General features: G+C 56.8%; 1 protein-coding gene across 3 annotated transcripts in view, besides 3 other annotated features; it reads left to right on the top strand.

The window, feature by feature from the left end:
* Positions 1–15,708, top strand: part of TCF20 (transcription factor 20) — a 183,525-nt gene that overhangs the window by 47,266 nt on the left and 120,551 nt on the right. The window contains exon 1 of one of the 3 annotated variants that reach the window (NM_005650.4): positions 12,345–12,445. The exons of the other annotated variants lie outside the window; for them this stretch is intronic. The gene's annotated coding sequence lies outside the window, so the exon portion shown is untranslated. Of the gene's footprint in view, positions 1–12,344; positions 12,446–15,708 lie in introns of those variants that run through there. 3 annotated transcript variants of the gene reach the window in all.
* Positions 826–1,639: an enhancer, noted in NCBI's record as "H3K4me1 hESC enhancer chr22:42690639-42691452 (GRCh37/hg19 assembly coordinates)". NCBI's record gives its function as "activates a minimal SCP1, AML or CMV promoter by ChIP-STARR-seq in naive H9 embryonic stem cells {active_cell/tissue: H9 hESC(naive)}" and the evidence as "EXISTENCE:reporter gene assay evidence [ECO:0000049][PMID:30033119]".
* Positions 12,354–13,203: an enhancer, noted in NCBI's record as "H3K27ac-H3K4me1 hESC enhancer chr22:42679075-42679924 (GRCh37/hg19 assembly coordinates)". NCBI's record gives its function as "activates a minimal SCP1, AML or CMV promoter by ChIP-STARR-seq in naive H9 embryonic stem cells {active_cell/tissue: H9 hESC(naive)}" and the evidence as "EXISTENCE:reporter gene assay evidence [ECO:0000049][PMID:30033119]".
* Positions 13,204–14,054: an enhancer, noted in NCBI's record as "H3K27ac-H3K4me1 hESC enhancer chr22:42678224-42679074 (GRCh37/hg19 assembly coordinates)". NCBI's record gives its function as "activates a minimal SCP1, AML or CMV promoter by ChIP-STARR-seq in naive H9 embryonic stem cells {active_cell/tissue: H9 hESC(naive)}" and the evidence as "EXISTENCE:reporter gene assay evidence [ECO:0000049][PMID:30033119]".

Below are 15,708 nucleotides of genomic sequence, written 5' to 3'. Positions count from 1 at the left end.
GGCCTGTGCTGGGGGTCAAGGACACAGCATCCCGTTCGCTGAGGCCTGGCTCGGGGAGGCCAGGCTGCTGCTGAAGATGATGATGGTGGTCATGATGGTGATCCTGCACTGCCAAGCACTCACCTGCCAGGCAGGGGTCTAAGTCCTGACACATCTTCACTCGGTAGTCCTCACAAAACTCAGATGGGCTAAGGACTGTTCTTACCCCCATTTTACGGATGAGGAAACAGATCCATCTATAGCTAGAAAACGGGGAAGGCAAGATTGGAACCCCAGCTTGCTGGCTTCAAAGTCCATGCCCTCAGTGATGCCCAGGGTCTTGTGGAGGGCAGCCTGTACCATGTGGGAACTGGTCACGCTGTGTGGAAAGCCTGCCTGGAGGAGGAGGGGATGGGTATATGGGTTGGGGCTGAAGGCTGCACAGGATTTCTGCTGCTGAGGTGGGGAGTTCAAGGAAGGCTTCTCTGAGGAGGTGTCATTTAGGCTTTGGCCTGAAGGACATGAGCTGGTTGTATGAAAACATAAGGGAGTAGGCCGGGCGCGGTGGCTCACGCCTGTAATCCCAACACTTTGGGAGGCTGAGGTGGGTGGATCACTTGAGGTTAGGAGTTCGAGACTAGCCTCAACATGGAGAAACCCTGTCTCTACTAAAAATACAAAATTAGCCGGGCGTGGTGGTGCCTGCCTGTAATCCCAGCTCCTCAGGAGGCTGAGGCAGGAGAATTGCTTGAACCTGGGAGGCGGAGGTTGCAGTGAGCCGAGATTGTGCCATTGCACTCCAGCCCGGGCAACAAGAGCAAAACTCTGTCTCAAAAAAAAAAAAAAAAAAGAAAAGAAAACATAAGGGAGGAGCATCTCAGGGAGGGGGACAGCCAGGGCAGAGGCCCCAAGGCAGCAGCAGGCTTGCCAGGTGGGAAGGACCAGAAGGCAGCCCAGCGGTGGGGAGTGTGGAGTGAATGGGGCTGAAAGGGTAGGGCTGGCTCACAGAGGGTGGGGAGGCTGCAGCAAAAGAGGAGTTTAGGGTGGCTATGGTGCAGGGGCAGCTGTATGCTTCACCTCAAATGTTACTGTCTTCTCTCTCCATCAAGGAGGAAGGGCCCAGGCTGGGGTTAGGAGGCTTAGGGACCAGACTGTGTCACCCTCTCTCCTCCTGTGCCCTGCCCCCCACGCTGTCATCTCCCTCAGTGGCAGTGGGGGTTCATCACTGGGTCTTCAGGTCCCTTGCCCATGGCTGGTGGTGTTCCAGGTGGGCCCAACCAGGCGGCCCCTGCCTCTAGGCAGCGCGTAGGTTTCCTTGGGCAGCCTCAATCCTGCCAGCGCCAGCATGTCTCCCTGCACAGAAGCCATCAAGCACCTTTGGATCCTATCTGAGGGTCATCCCTGTCCCCCAGGGCCCTCCACCCAACCACAGCACCGGTGTGTATTCCCCTCTGCAGGCTGCCAGGCACTCCGCCTGCACCTGCTGCAGTTGGACAGTCCAGGCGTGGTGTGTGACCACAGCAAGCCACTGCCCACCTCTGAGCCTCATTGTCCTCATCTACAGAGTTGGGACATCAGCGTCTACTTTGTGGTTGGCTGTGAGGCCTAAATGAGATAATCTCCATCAAGTCCCTGCCAGGAGCCTAGCCTGGCCTCCATCAGTGGCCGCTGTTGAAAATGTGAGTCCTAAATCCTTGTGACCGCTGGGCCCAGCACCCTGGACAGCAACAGCCTGGCCCTGCCCTCTCCCGGAGCTGGGAGGGAGGGCCCTTTCCCAACCTGCTCGCCTGGGAGCACTGCCTGCCAGTGACTTCCCTGCCTCTGCCACGCCGACCCCCAGCAGCCTTCCCTGGCCTCCCTCCCGCTCCTGGAGTCTTTAGTCTTCAGCACAGTCTGGTAATTAAAAACCTTCAAGGGGAACTTTATTGAGTTAGCATTAGTTATTTTGTCAGGCTGGGAGAGCAAGAGAATTATCTGTCCTCCGGGAGAGGGGGCTAGGGCGGGGTCGCGGGCTGAGATTGGCAGGTGCCTGCCAGTGTAGTGCACGCAGGGTTTGTGCTCTATTAATGCACCGCACTGCAGGTGCAGTGGCAGGATGTGACCGGGGTGGAGCGGGCTGGCGGGTGTGTGTGTGGGGAGGGAGGATTCCCCACTGTGAGGCTGGCCCTGCGGGGATGTTCCCACTTCCCAGGCTCTTCCTGGCTCCTGTCCTAGGGCTCTATCACTTCCTGGCTTTCAAAACAAGCCCCTGTGAGAGCCCAAATGGAGACATGGGCAGCTGAGGGCGTTCTTTGAGACGGAGTCTCCCTTTGTGGCCCAGGGTGGAGTGCTGTGGTGCAGTTTTGCCTCACTGCAACCTCCGGCTCCAGGGTTCAAGCGATTCTCCTGCCTCAGCCTCCTGAGTAGCTGGGATTACAGGCTCATGCCACCACACCCGGCTAATTTTTGTAATGTTAGTAGAGACGGTGTTTCACCATGTTGGTCGGGCTGGTCTCAAACTCCTGACCTCGTGATCTGCCCGCCTTGGCCTCCCAAAGTGCTGGGATTACAGGCCTGAGCCACCGCGCCCAGCCTGAGGGCATTCTTTTCTTACTCCAAGCTGGGGGCTAAGCCTCTTGCCTCCCCAGGCCTGCCCTTAGGCTAGGGTTGGCCAGTGGGCTGGTTAAGGTGCCCCAGGCCTCCTCCCTACCCTCCCCTTCCCATAGCCTGAAGATACCCCCTTACAGAGTCAGGCAGGGACACCTGAGATTGGGAGCTCTGTGACCTTGGCTGAGCCCCCTCACCCCGCTGTCCTCAGACTCTCATTTGTGGAATGAGAACCACCCTCCCCAGGTAGTCATGCAGGATAAAGGAGGTCAAATGGGAATTCCCACCTCCAGGAAACCACCTGGTTTTATTCCCCTGGGTCTGTCTGAATGCCGAGCCCTAGGGAATGAGCTGACCTTTGCCCTTTTTGTTTGGCACCCACCTAGGGACAATACTCTGAATCCTGGCAATAACCTTGCAAGACAGGTGTATCCAGCTCCTGTTTCAGTTGAGCACACTGGGGCTGGAGCAGGGTGGCAGTTTGCTCAGAGTCAGCCAGGAGTGGAGAAGCTGGGTCTGACCTTGGATCTTCCCCCTATTCGAGGGGCTGGGGGGCCAACACTACACTATTGAATCTTTTAGGGAAGGTGCCAAGGAAGGACACTTGGCCTCCTCCTGGGCTTGGGCCTGGCCAGGAGGCCTCCTGCTGGGAGCTGGCCCCGGGGCTTTGTATCCTGCCCTGCCTTGCCCCAGAGCTGGGCCCCACTCCCTGGCCTTTCTGCCCTGCCTATGAGGCCCAGCTCCTGAAATTCAAACCCCGCCACTCCTGGTGGGCAGGACAGAGTGGGAGGGGGATGTGGGATCTAGTATCCAGCGCTGGGGACAGTGGAAGGGTCACACCAGCCATGTGTCTGTGCCGCTCAAGCTGAGACCCGGTCATTCAGTAGATTCTCCTGGGCCTGGGCTAGTGCTCGGCCGGCCCTGGAGGCGCAGAGGGGCTGGCTGGGAGCAGAGAGGCCTGAGAATCCAATCCGAGCCTTGTCTTCCTAGCCGTGGGGTCCTGTGTCCCAGGTGTGTGCTGCTTTGCAGCTCAAACAGGCCTCCTTGTCCTCCAAGTTCCTGCTTAAACACCCCCTCTTCTGGGATGCCTTCTGGGATTTATCCAGGCCACCGTGCTGCCCACTCTTCTGGCATCTCACAACCTACCTTGGTTACAGTTGACACGCAGGATGTTACCTCATTGAGGGCCAGGCTGAGCCCTTGTTATGTCCCTATCCTCAGCGTATGTGCTGGGTCCTAGCTGAGTCCCAGCTCTGCCTCGGATTCCTCATCTGTCAAGTGAGTCCAGGGCACAGAACCATGTTTGGGGACTGCAGGGCAGGATGAGGCCAGAAAGGGCTCCTTCTGTGGCATCCTTGACCTAGTGCACGTGGCCTGATTTTAGCACTGGGGCCTCAGCGGATCAGGACACGGAACACGCAGGCCCAACCCTGGGAACTGTAAGGTATTGCCTACTACCGCCGTGGGACCTGGGTGAGCTTTCTTCTTGCAAAATGGGGGTGCTGACCCTCGTCCATACCCTGTGAGACTATGGGCAGAGAGCCCAGCATGACAGGAGGGCCTATGGGTGCTGTGCTAAGTTTCTTTATCTAAGAAATGGGAGTGAGGCCCCATTAGTGCTCACGGGTCTCATACGAGGGGTGGTGTGTGAGAGGTGCCTGCTTTTACCCAGGTCAGAGACCTCAGGTCCACAGGGGCAGGAGACAATAGGTGCTGGCTGTTGTCAGGGAGGATCATGGAGCCAGGGGCCTGACCTTCCTCCCTCACATCTGTGGTTTCAACTTGGATGCTCTTAATCTGTGCTGGAAAGGAATTGGGTAGGGCCCCACCCCCTCACGCTAGCCCTTCTGCTTGCTTCTTTAGGCTGGGCTGCCTTTGTGTGTATCTGTGCTCTGGACCAGAATCAGGAGACCCTGGCTCAAGAGGCCCCTCCTAGGCATCTTGTGGCCCCAGGACTCCACCTTTGCCCAGCCTGGGCTAGGCCAGGCAGCCGGGTCAGGATCCACCTGGATCCACAGCAGTCCTGCCCAGCACCCCATCTGTTCCCCTCTCAGCCACACCCTTCTTGCTCTCCTCTGATTCCCCATGCAGGGGCTGCCTTTGCTGCATGCACCATCAGGAAAACTGCTCTCTTGGCAGATGACATCTCCCAGAGGCGGTCCCAGCACAGGCACTGCTGCTGCTGCCCCAGGGCTCATAGTCCAGACGGTCCAGCTGCTTTGCCGAGGGGCAGCCCTGAGGCCTATGACCTCCAGCGGGCTCAGGACACACATCTGTCTACCCTGGTCGAGACTCTAGTATGGAGATCCCCTTCCTTTGCCGCTCCACACACTGCCCTCTCCTCAGGGAATGCTTCCTCCTGGAAGCCCTGTCTAACCCCAAGGCTGTGGGGAGGGCCCCTCCCCTGGGGCTCAGGCTGGACCGCGGTCATTGGTTTACTTACTTTCCTTTCCACCAGACTGTGAGCTTCTTAAGTAACATCATGCATTTCTGGATCCCTGGCACACAGGAGGCACTCAATAAATGCTTGTGTTTGTTGGACAGTTTGTGGGGACTGGGAGGACCTTAAAATGTTCAGAGAAGAGGAGATGGAGTCCCAGAGACGGGAAGGATGGGGCATGGAGTGAGGCTCCACTGTCCAGAGGAGAGGACCCTAGGTTCCGATCCTGGCAGCCTGGGGACGGATCTGGCTGGACCCCTTACTTCACCTCTCCATGCCTCAGTTTCCTTATTTGTAAATGGGCATTTTCAAGCTGCCTCTCATGGTTGTACTGAGGTTGTACCGAGGTAAGGTAAGAGGGGGTGCTTTGCAAAGCCCCTGAAGATGTGAGTCCTCCCAGCACTGTTCTAGGGTCTTCAGTGGACCAGGATGGGCAGCAGGCCTGCCCCAAGGCCCCTGTGTGCTCTGGGAGGCTGACCTCGTCCTTGAATTGCCTTGAATTGTCCTTGAGGCCAGCATCTCATCCCAGCCTCATCCCCAGGCCTAGTGTTAGCCCAGCGACCAACGCTGAAGGGGCAGGCCCAGCGGTGTATGCTGCAGCCACAGCGAGTGGGCTCAGGGGCACGCGCTCCTTCTCCTCTGGTACCCTCCAGAAACCAGAAGCCTTTCCCTCCCAGCCTGCCCTTGGCTCTAATATCACAGGCCACACTGTGGGGAGAGGGTCCCCTGCCTGTGCTAAGCAAAGGTCAGGAGCAGAGGCCTCCCACGTGCCCCCAGCCTGCCCGCTCCATGGCCTGGTCACACCCACAGCTGACCCAGCCTCCCTTCACTGGGGTTTTTATATTTTGAGCAGATGAAAGATTCTGAACGATTCTCATTCCGTGTGTTTTGGCTGGGATTAGCTAGCCCCTGGCTGCCAGTTCCTCGGAGCTCTGCTGTGTTGAGAGGACATCAGACGGCCTGTGCTGGGCCGCTTCTCAGGGGCCCCGAGCCTCCTGCACATCCTAGGGCAGGGTACTGGGGGTCAGGACTGGGAGAAGAGACAGGATGAAGGGGGCAGGCCCTGCTGCAGGCTCTGGCCCACCTCTGGCCCTGGCCCCCAGCAAGGATTGGGGCCCAGCCCTGCCTCCTGCTGGCCCTTGTCCCCCTGGCTGACCCCCGCTCCCCAAGCAGCAGCCGGCGGTGCAGGGGGCGCATGCGTGCGGCGGGAGTGAGCCGGCTGTGGAGAATTAATATTCCTGGAACATCGCCCCGGCCGCCTGCACACGCCGAGGAGAATATTACGGCGATTAGCGGTGGGAGTTCGGCCTGCACGCAATATCTGGATGGAGAATTCGGTGTGATTAATCTGGCGCTAAGTAGCAGCCTCCGGGGTCCGCAGGGCTCTGGCATGTTTGGAATGGGAAAAAGCTCGGGGGCGGGGCAATCCTTTGGGGCGCTCTTTGGGGGTCTGCCAGGGTGGCAGCTGTGCCCGGGGCAGGCTGCAGGCTCCTGGTGGCCTCAGGTGGGCAGATCATCCCTTATTTGCAGCCATTGGCGGACTGCCAGCAGATAAAAGTGTGTGTGGTTCAGAATCTCAGCCCATCTGACGCCTCTCTCAGGCCTTTCTCTCCCTTTAGCCGCCTAAGTTCAGGGTCACAGACCCACATTGGAGTTGCAGCTTCACCGCACACTTTACACCACCTTTCAGGGCCTCAGTTTCTTCATCTGTAGAACAGGATGCATCATTCCTACCTTGCCATCTCAGGGGAAAGTCTATTATTTTTCCCACTTCATGGAGGAGAAAACAGGCTGTGAGCATTTTGCACAGCCAGGAGTGGCTCTGTGCTATGCAGATGTTAAAGATTATTGTTAATAATTCTACTAAGAACCTGAGTTCAGCAGCCACCAGTTCCTCTTGCTTTGTCTCTGCTCTTTGGGCAATGGCAGATCTGGTGTTCGGAACCTCCCAGAGTGTGTCGGTGGGATGTGGTGGCAGGGAGAGAGCACTGGTGGCCCCATCTGTAAAATGGGTATAAAAATACCTCACTTCCCTGAAGTGGAGGTCCAAGTGAGAAAAGCGGGTGCCTGTTTTAAGATCTGCTGTTCTGGGGCTGTTTTGTAGTCTAACTTAGGGCAGCAGTGGAGACCAGGTGAAACTGGTGGTGATGTGGGTCGGGGAATATCTGTTGGTCTGGCCTTCCTCCCAGTCATCGGCCCCCGCCTGACTGCTTCACTGGATGGAAGCACTGAATGCCAGGGCTGGAAAGGAGCCTCCTGATCTTCCCCAGTGTCTTCACTTAAGGGCAAGGAAACCGAGGTGCAGAGAAGGAATGAGGCCTGCCCAGGCTTGCACCAAAGTGGCAGTGTGGAGGGAGGAGTGTGGTCTTTGGAGCCAGCCCAGGCCTGCACTGCCCTTGGGCAAGTCTTTCTTTCTCTGGGCCTCAGTTTCCTTATCTGTAGAATGGCAACGTTGTGCCAGCCTTTTGGGGTGGAACAGTGTAATGGGCAAGGAACAGAGCAGACACTCTGCTCTCTGTCTTTTTTTTTTTTTTTTTTTTTTTTTTTTTTTGATACAGGGTCTCAAAAATACAGCCTGTTGCCCAGACTGGAGTACAGTGGCATGATCTCGGCTCACTGCAACCTCTGCCTCCCTCCCAGGTTCAAGTGATTCTCCCATCTCAATCTCACGAGTAGCTGGGACTACAGGGGCACGCCACCATGCCCGGCTTTTTTTTTTTTTTTTTTTTCCTGAGATGGAGTCTTGCTCTATTGCCAGGTTAGAGTACAGTAGCATGATCTCAGCTCACTGCAGCCTCCACCTCCTGGGTTTAAGCGATTCTTCTGCTTCAGCCTCCCGAGTAGCTGGGACTACAGGCATGTGCCACCATGCCTGGCTAATTTTTTGTATTTTAGTTGAGACAGGGTTTCACTATGTTGGCCAGGATGGTCTCGATTTCCTGACCTCGTGATCTGCCTGCCTCGGCCTCCCAACGTTCTGGGATTACAGGCGTGAGCCACCGCGCCTGGCCATGCCTGGCTAATTTTTGTATTTTTAGTAGACGGGGTTTTACCGTGTTGGCCAGGCTGGTCTTGAACTCCTGGCCTCAAGTAATTCACCCACGTTGGCCTCCCAGAATGCTGGGATTACAGGAGTGAGCCACCACGCCAGGCCAGCACTCTGATCTCTTAATAGGAAAAGGTCCTGTTCTCCTGGGAGCTCAAGAGGGCTTTCTGTAGGGTGCCCAGCACATACAACTGGCCTGCCTCCTCTTTGCCCAGGGTGCTGGACTTGCCGAAAGCTCTTCTGGTGAAGGAATTCAACCATTGCACTTTTTCGCTCAATTGCTTCACTCCCTGTCTGTTGAACATTTCCAAATCTGATTTGCAGGACTTTTTTTTCTTTTCTTTTCTTTTTTTTTGGCTAGTGAGGCTTTAGACTTCCATGCAACTCACCACGCCCAGAAATGGATGCTGGACCAATTGTCTTTACTCCCCCTTTCCCATGCAAGCAATGTAACGGCCTTTGAAAGGGGGCTGGTTTGTGGTTTTCCAGCAGTAGAATGGTCTGTGGTCTTGAGCAGCTAAATTTGAAACCGGGCTTTTCAGGAGGATCAACTGAGCTCTGAAACAGCTGGGCACAGTGCAAGGTGGCAGGGGTCAGGGACAGGCAGGTGGGGCTCCTTGGGCTTGGCTGTGCTTTCACTGCTGACTCCTCAGTGCCGGGAACAGTAAGAGCTCACACAGCCCTGCTTGAATGAATGCATGCATACGTGATGGGATGGATCTGTGCTATGATGAGATGCAGTAGAGTATGTTGGTTAAAAGCCTAGGCTCTAGAACTGGACAGCCTGGAGTGGAACTCTAGCTCTGCTCTTTGTTAGTGGTGTGACTGGGTAACTCAGTTCCGTTCTCTGGGCCTCAGTTTGCTCATCTGTGAAATGGTTGAACTAGATGATTCCAGCATTCCTCCCAGCTCAGACGTTCTGGTTTCTTTGTTGGCCTTCATCCCCAACAATAATGTGTCCAGAACAAAGGCGTGGTGCTCCCTGAGCCCTCTAGCTCAGCCACCATGCTCCCAAAAACCTGTGCTCCCAAATAGAGGCAACATGTCCTCTCTACCCAAATGTGCCTGGGAGTTGTCGCCTTGGAAATGTGCTTTTTTGCTTCTGGGGTTGGGTGCCCATACCCTCCTATCCATGCATTTGCCCCCTCCTCCCTTCCCCCCAGCCATCCTGATCCAGCTTACATACCTCCTCCTCCAGGAAGCCTTTCCTGATGCCGACTCCCAGCTGTACTCCTTTCAAGGCCCTTCTCTGCATCTTTTGCTCCTGGCCTGGGATCCCACCTCACTCATGTTAGGGTGTTTGTGAGAAGTTATTGAATAATTGTGCACACGTCCTCCACGGTTCAAGGGACTGATGGGAACCCACATCTATTCCTTATCTACGAAGTGCCTGGCCTGGTACGAGGAGGCACATTTGTACTCCTTGTCTGAAATTACCCACGCAAAATCTCAGTGACATAAAGAGTGTTACCCTGCTTCAAAGGAGGAAACTGAGGCTTGGCAAGCTTATTTGGAGCCTAGTCTCTGATCCCCTGAAGCGCACTTTCTTCCCACTGCCACAGCACATCTCTCTCAGACTGTGTTCTGTCCTCTGGACACCTTGCTCTGATTACCCTGATCAGATAAAGTAATCTTGCTGGCCGCTAACTGGGATCGGCTCTTGCTTAGAAAGGCCATTGTAAGCATTTTGTATCTCTTATCTCATGTAATCTTATAGCAACCTTATAAGGTAGGTCCTATTCTTATCCCCATTTTACAGGTGGAGCATGTGTGGCTCTAAGAAGGAACTTACTCAAGGTCACACAGTCACACAGGAAGGAAGTGGTGGAGCCAGGATTTAAAACCAGACAGCCTGATGTAGGTGCCTGCCAAACTGAATTGCAGTTCTTCAATTCACTGTTCCAGTCAACCCTGCCTAGGTTCCTCAGGGCGTATTTCTTGAGTATGCACTGTGTGGATCAGAGGACAAGGGGCAGAGGATGACAGACCCATGTCCTTGGCCAATCTCAAAGCCCCACTGGGAGGGGACAGGTACAGTTCTCTGAGGTCTTTCGAGGGTCTGCACTGTGCTGAGACCCTCTGAAGGGACACTGCTGTTACGCTGTCAGCTTCACATAGGGTGAGGCAGGCTCAGAGGGGTCAGTGGCTTGTCTAAGGTCACCCAGTGAGTGAGTTGGGGAGCCAGGATTTGAACTTGAGCAGTCAGCCTCAGAGTCCCTACCCCTTTCCACCATTTCTTCCTGCCTTACAGGACACGGCATATGAGCTGCTATGGGGGAAAAGCATAGAAAGTGGCATTTGACTTGGACTTGGGGGTCAGGCTTCTCAGAGGAAGTGAGGTCTAAGTCGAGACCCTCATGTAACGCAGGAAGTGGTGGGAGTAGGGGGAGGAGAGAGAACAGCATGTGCAAAGGCCCAGAGGCAAGAGAGAGCATGGTTTGTTTAAAGAACTGGGTGCGGTGGCTCACACCTTTAATCCTAGCACTTTGGATGGCTGAGGTGGGAGGATCACTTGAGCCCATGAGTTCGAGACCAGCTTAGGCAACATAGTGAGACCCTATCCCTACAAAAAAAATAAAATAATAATAAAATAAAATAAAAATAAAAACCAAAGAGCACAGAATGAAGGCGTTTGTTCTAGGTTTCTTCACTGGCATTTCCAGTTGCAGTCTTTGAGTAGTAGTTTATCTAGAAGGGCTGCGGAATGCCTCCTGTGGATTCTGTACCATGTTAGGTCCTAAATGCAGACGCAGCCCTTGGTAGGGGCAGGGACTGGTGCGCTGCTCGGAGGGGGTCCCAAGGACCGAGGCGGGAATACTAGCTCCAGGATTAGGGAAGGGCCAGGAGGAATGGAAGTACTTTATAGTCGGTGGGAGCTGCCTTGTGTCCTTGCCTGTAACCCTGACATCCTAGATATGGGAAGGATGAAATGAGATAACCAGGACCTGGCGCTTAGTAGGCCCTCACCAGGTGCCAGGCACAGAAGCTCAGTGGCAGGCGTGTGCCAAGTTTGGGGCAGCCAGTGGTCAGCAGCCCAGCTGCCCCGTGGCACCAGGGAAGAGGGGAAGGGCCCTGCCGTGGAGTAGGCAGAGCAGGGCCTGGAGGGGCCCTGGGCCAGGGGCCTCAGGCTGAAGCGAGCATGGCCGAGTGAAGTGCATGGCCTCTCACTGGAGGGCAGAGGCTGGAACACTGGACAGGGAAGTCCCCACCAGGCCAAGGATGGCTTGAACAGCTACGGAGTAGGCGGCTCAGGTCAAGGATCTGGCCACGGCCCAGAGTCCAGGCACTGGACACTTGGGTCTCTGTTGTGTCCCAATGCTTCCTGGGCCTTGGTTTCCCCATCTTGACACGGGGCGTTGGTGCTTACCTCTCAGGCATTGCCATGGGGTAGGAAGGGGGTGTGAAGCGCCTGTGCTGGGCTTGCAGGTAGTAGGTGCTCAGCCCCTCGGAACGGACGCTGCTGTTGTACACAGAGAAACAGAGCCAGGACCCCAGGCCAGGCCTCCTCTTGCTGTGGCCTCCCTGAGATGGGACTTGGGACAAAAGGTGGTCGGGACTGCCATGCCCTGCCCTTTCCAAGCCCACCTTTGTAGGGGGCAGCCAGGGCTCACTCCAGTGGCCCATGAAGGCTTTAGCCCTGGAGCTGCCCAGCTAGCCCTTCAGGCTCTGGGCCACTTTGCTGGCCTCACATCCCAGCTCACCTTCCTGCTCTGCAGCCTCAGAGATGCCCTTCCCTTTCTGAGCCTTGCCAGGTAAAATGCAGCCCTCTCTGGTCCTCGTGACGACCACCTAAGGTGCTGGGTGCAAATCCCCAGCACACAGTAGGTGCTCTATGAACGGTCACACTTGCCTTTACCCCACAGTCTCCAAGCACAGCAGTGAGCTGCGATTCTCACCTGTGGTGGGCGTTGGCCCCTTTTAAGCCATTTACTCTGGGGCCAATTATAAATAGACACATAATCGCCCCTATCTATAGAGATAAGACATACTCTTCAGATGAGCCCGCCCCTCCCCTGCCCCCCTCCACGCTGGCACGCGCTCTCCGCAGTTGAAGGCGAGGGGGGATCGGGTGCTCCCCTCCCTCCTCCATCCATCCATCCCTCCTCCCCGCTGCTCCTCCATCTCCACCCTGCAGAGGTGAGATCGGCAGGGGCCGTGATGTCAGAGGCTCAGCTGATGTCACCGCCCCGGCCCTGTGACTTCACTTGCCGGCTTGGGCAGGAGGAGCCGCGAGGAGGCTGAGAGCCGAGAAACTGCCCCCCTTTCCTTTTCCTTCTCCTTTTTTCCCTTTCCCCTCCTCCCCCGCCTCGGCTCAGGAGTTGTTTTCCTCCCCCGTGGTCGCCGGGCTGGCAAGGGGTCTGGGGCAAGGGCCAGGGAAGGATGCGGCTGCAAAGGTAACGGTGTGCGCGGTGCCTCTCCCGCGGTCGTGAAAGTTTGCTCTGGCGTGCGAGGCGTGCCCGCCGGGTGCTCCGCCGCGCCGCGCTGCCCTGGCCCGAGGCTCCCCGGGGGCGGGCAGGGGCCGCGCCGGGCCAGGGCAGGGCTGGGCAGGGGCCTCCCGGGCGGCCTTTACTGCCTTGTCCCCATCAAAGGCCGCAGCTGCTCGAGTGGCGGCTGTAGCTTTGAAACTGCCATAAAGAGCGATGGAGGGCGGGGAGGCGGGGGATGTTCAGAGCAGTGCCCAGGAGGGTGGCCGGGAGAGGAGGGGCCCGAGGGGGCTGCTCGGGGAGCGCGGCAGCAGCAGGGGCGTGAAGGGCAGGGCCCCGGGTCACAGTCCCAGGGGCCGAGTGCCCGCCCCCGTCCCCTCCGGTCCAGATCCAGCCGCGCCCCCGTCCCCTCCGGTCCAGATCCAGCCGCCGTGCGCAGCCAGCCCGGGTGTGAGGGTGCAGAGCGGCGGGGGGTTGGGGCTGGCTGCTCCCTCTCCCCCCCTCCACTATTTCCAGGCATGTTCTTCCACCTCCAGCAGGCCATTTGTCAGTGGTGATGCGGGACAAAGGAGGGGCAGTGGGTGGTCTGCTGCGAGTTGGGCGATGGGCACGGAGCGAGGGCCGAGAGAAACGCCAACAATGAAGAGGCAGATCGAGGGCTTTGCTCATTCAGGCTGTCGAGGGAGCCGTCATTTTGTGTTAGCGTGTGTGTGTCTGAGGTGGGAGGAGGAAGAGAGCGGAGAATGACAGGAGAAGGATTATGACATTGTGTTGTCTCTGTTTGTGGTAAATGCAAATTTGGCACCAGTGGTTTCCCGGGAAAAGGAGCAGCAAGTAACCCAGGCCGAGGCCCTGGCCCAGACCCACGGAGGGAGCCCGTGCTGGGCGGCGTGGGGCTTTATTTGGCCCTCCCTTTTTTTCTATCTGGCGTGTGCTTCTTGCATTTATTTTACAGTGAAGAGCTGGAGACAGACAGGCCGGCGAGGCAGGAGGAGCCGGCCCCCTCCTCCCAGGCATGGCAGCCCCTCCTCAGCTCACCCCGGAGGAGGCCTGGGCAGCTCTCCCAACCCCCAGGCGCTGTCCCAGCTCTCCGGCCTCCCTCCCAGGTCTCTGCCCCCAGCCAGGGTCACCGTTCCATCATTCTCTTAGCCTGGGCAGCCTGAGGTCTCTGAAGGCTACTTCTGCCCGCAGCTGCTTCCCAAGCGTGACCAGAGACCGAGAACCTGGGACCGAGGCTGGGATGGGGCTTTGCAGAACGAAGGCCAGGGCTGGGCGCTCCCCCGGCTACAGTGCTGGCCTGGCTGGCCTGGAGGTTGGCAAACAGCTCTGCAGCCAGGGGCTGTTAGCACAGCCTCCTGGACCTTGACTCCTCTGACGGGCCCATGAGGGCAAGGGAGCTTGAGCCTGCCCTGGGCCAGGAAGCGGCCATGGTACAAGTCTCTGGGCTGCCACAGGGCTCAGGCAGGTGCAGTGACATGGGCGCAGGTGGTCAGTGTGTTTACAGCAGGCCTCCAGAGAGGGCATGGTGGAGTGAGTTTTACCAGGGCCAGGCCGTAGCTCAGGCCCTAGCAGAGACTGTGAGTTCTAAGCTGAGAAGCCAGGGCAGGAACCATCTACAGGCAGAAGGTCAGGGGAAGGCTGTGGCTCTCCTTCCAGTCTCCCTTCCCCTGGAGCTGGTCCCTAACCTGACGTCACCACCTCCTCTTTTCTGGTCAAGTCTTCTGGTCTCAATTCACTTCCTCCAGGAAGCCTTCCCTGTCCTTCTCTCAGGTGGACTTGGGTCCTGTGCCTGGCCCACCTTCTTTGCCCTCTCACAGTCCTGACCACACAGACGTGGGTCTGTCTCCCTGTTAGGCCTTTGGGTGCAGAGCCTGGGTGACCATCCTTGGTTACAGGGACACTTAAGGCCTCCCCTCTGCACTCCTGGCACCTGCCCAGAGCTGGGCATAGAGGAGCCCTGTTCCTAGAGCTCAGAGGAACACACCCAGACTCAGACCCCCCAGGAAGTGGGACCACCAGGATGGAACAGCTGCCCTCTCCCCATGTCCTAGACGGTGTGATGGGCTCACTTCCTTTGGGCAAACTCACCCCAAGGGGTTTTTTCCCCACAGAAATCTTTTCCCTGAGTACCCCTGTGAGGTCTGACAGGGAAATCAAGAGAGGCTTCACAGAGGAGGTGGCATTTGAAGGCCTTGAAGAGTGAGTAGGAGTTTGCCGTGCTAAGGCAGGAGAGGGTGTACCATCAGAGGGAAGTGCAAGAACAGCGCATCCAAGGTGTAAGAGGCGGGTTGCACTCTGTGGCTGAAGCCGTTGGAAGGGAAGAGTGGGGAGAGGCGGCGACAGTGGAAGTGGGGCCCTTGTTTCACTGGCTGGGGGAGCCACTTGTGGAGGAAGGGAGAACCTGACCTGATGACAGACTGGGCGGTGCCACATGGACACCGCAGTCATTGCAAACTCGCCTTCTTTGGACCCGTTTTCAGGATCTTGCAAAGCTGGCTTGTTCTAGCTGCTCCCAAGCCAGCCTCTCTCAGGCTGCCTTGTGCTGGGATTCCCAGATGGCCTCAGATTTGAATTTAAAGACCAGCTTGGGTCTTCTTTTAATTTGGAGTCTCAGGACCAGCCCAGGCCACATTCTGAGCTGGAACCAAATTGGCGGGAAGCAGTTTGGATGCCGATCAAGGGGTGAAGGGTTCAGGAGCAGCTCCTCCAGCCTGGGACCCCGAGATGACTGGAGGCTCCTGTGGGAGACTGGGGTGGCTAGTCCCCCAGACCTATCCCCAACGGAGATGGCAGCACAGAGGGGTGGCCAACGTCCTGAGGCCAGACTGCCTGGGTTCAATCCTGGCTCTCCCATTTCCTAGCTGTGTGGCTTCAAGGAAGTTACCTGCCCTCTGTGAGTCTTTGTGTTCTTGGGTAATAATAATACCTACATCACAGGGCTGAGGTGAGGATTACATGAGATCATTCTCACAAAGCAGTCAGCCAGAGCCTGGCTCCCAGGGGGCACTGAATAATTGTTAGCTTAAAAAAAGATAACTCCAGAGAGCAAAGGCTCTAGCACCTAGTGTCTGGGGTCTAATCACTCAATCCATCTGAGCCTCAGTTTCCCTAGTTGTAAAATGGAGATGGTCATCGTGTCTGGTAATAATAGCCAAGACTGAGGAGCACTGACTGCGAGATTTGCAGGCTGTGTTCTAGTTGCCTAACTATGTATTAGCTTAATAGTCTCTCCC

This window comes from Homo sapiens, chromosome 22 (assembly GCF_000001405.40).
Source record: "Homo sapiens chromosome 22, GRCh38.p14 Primary Assembly".
NCBI lineage: Eukaryota > Metazoa > Chordata > Mammalia > Primates > Hominidae > Homo > Homo sapiens.
Note: the sequence above shows the minus strand (reverse complement) of the source record. Positions and strands in the feature narration are given on the sequence as shown.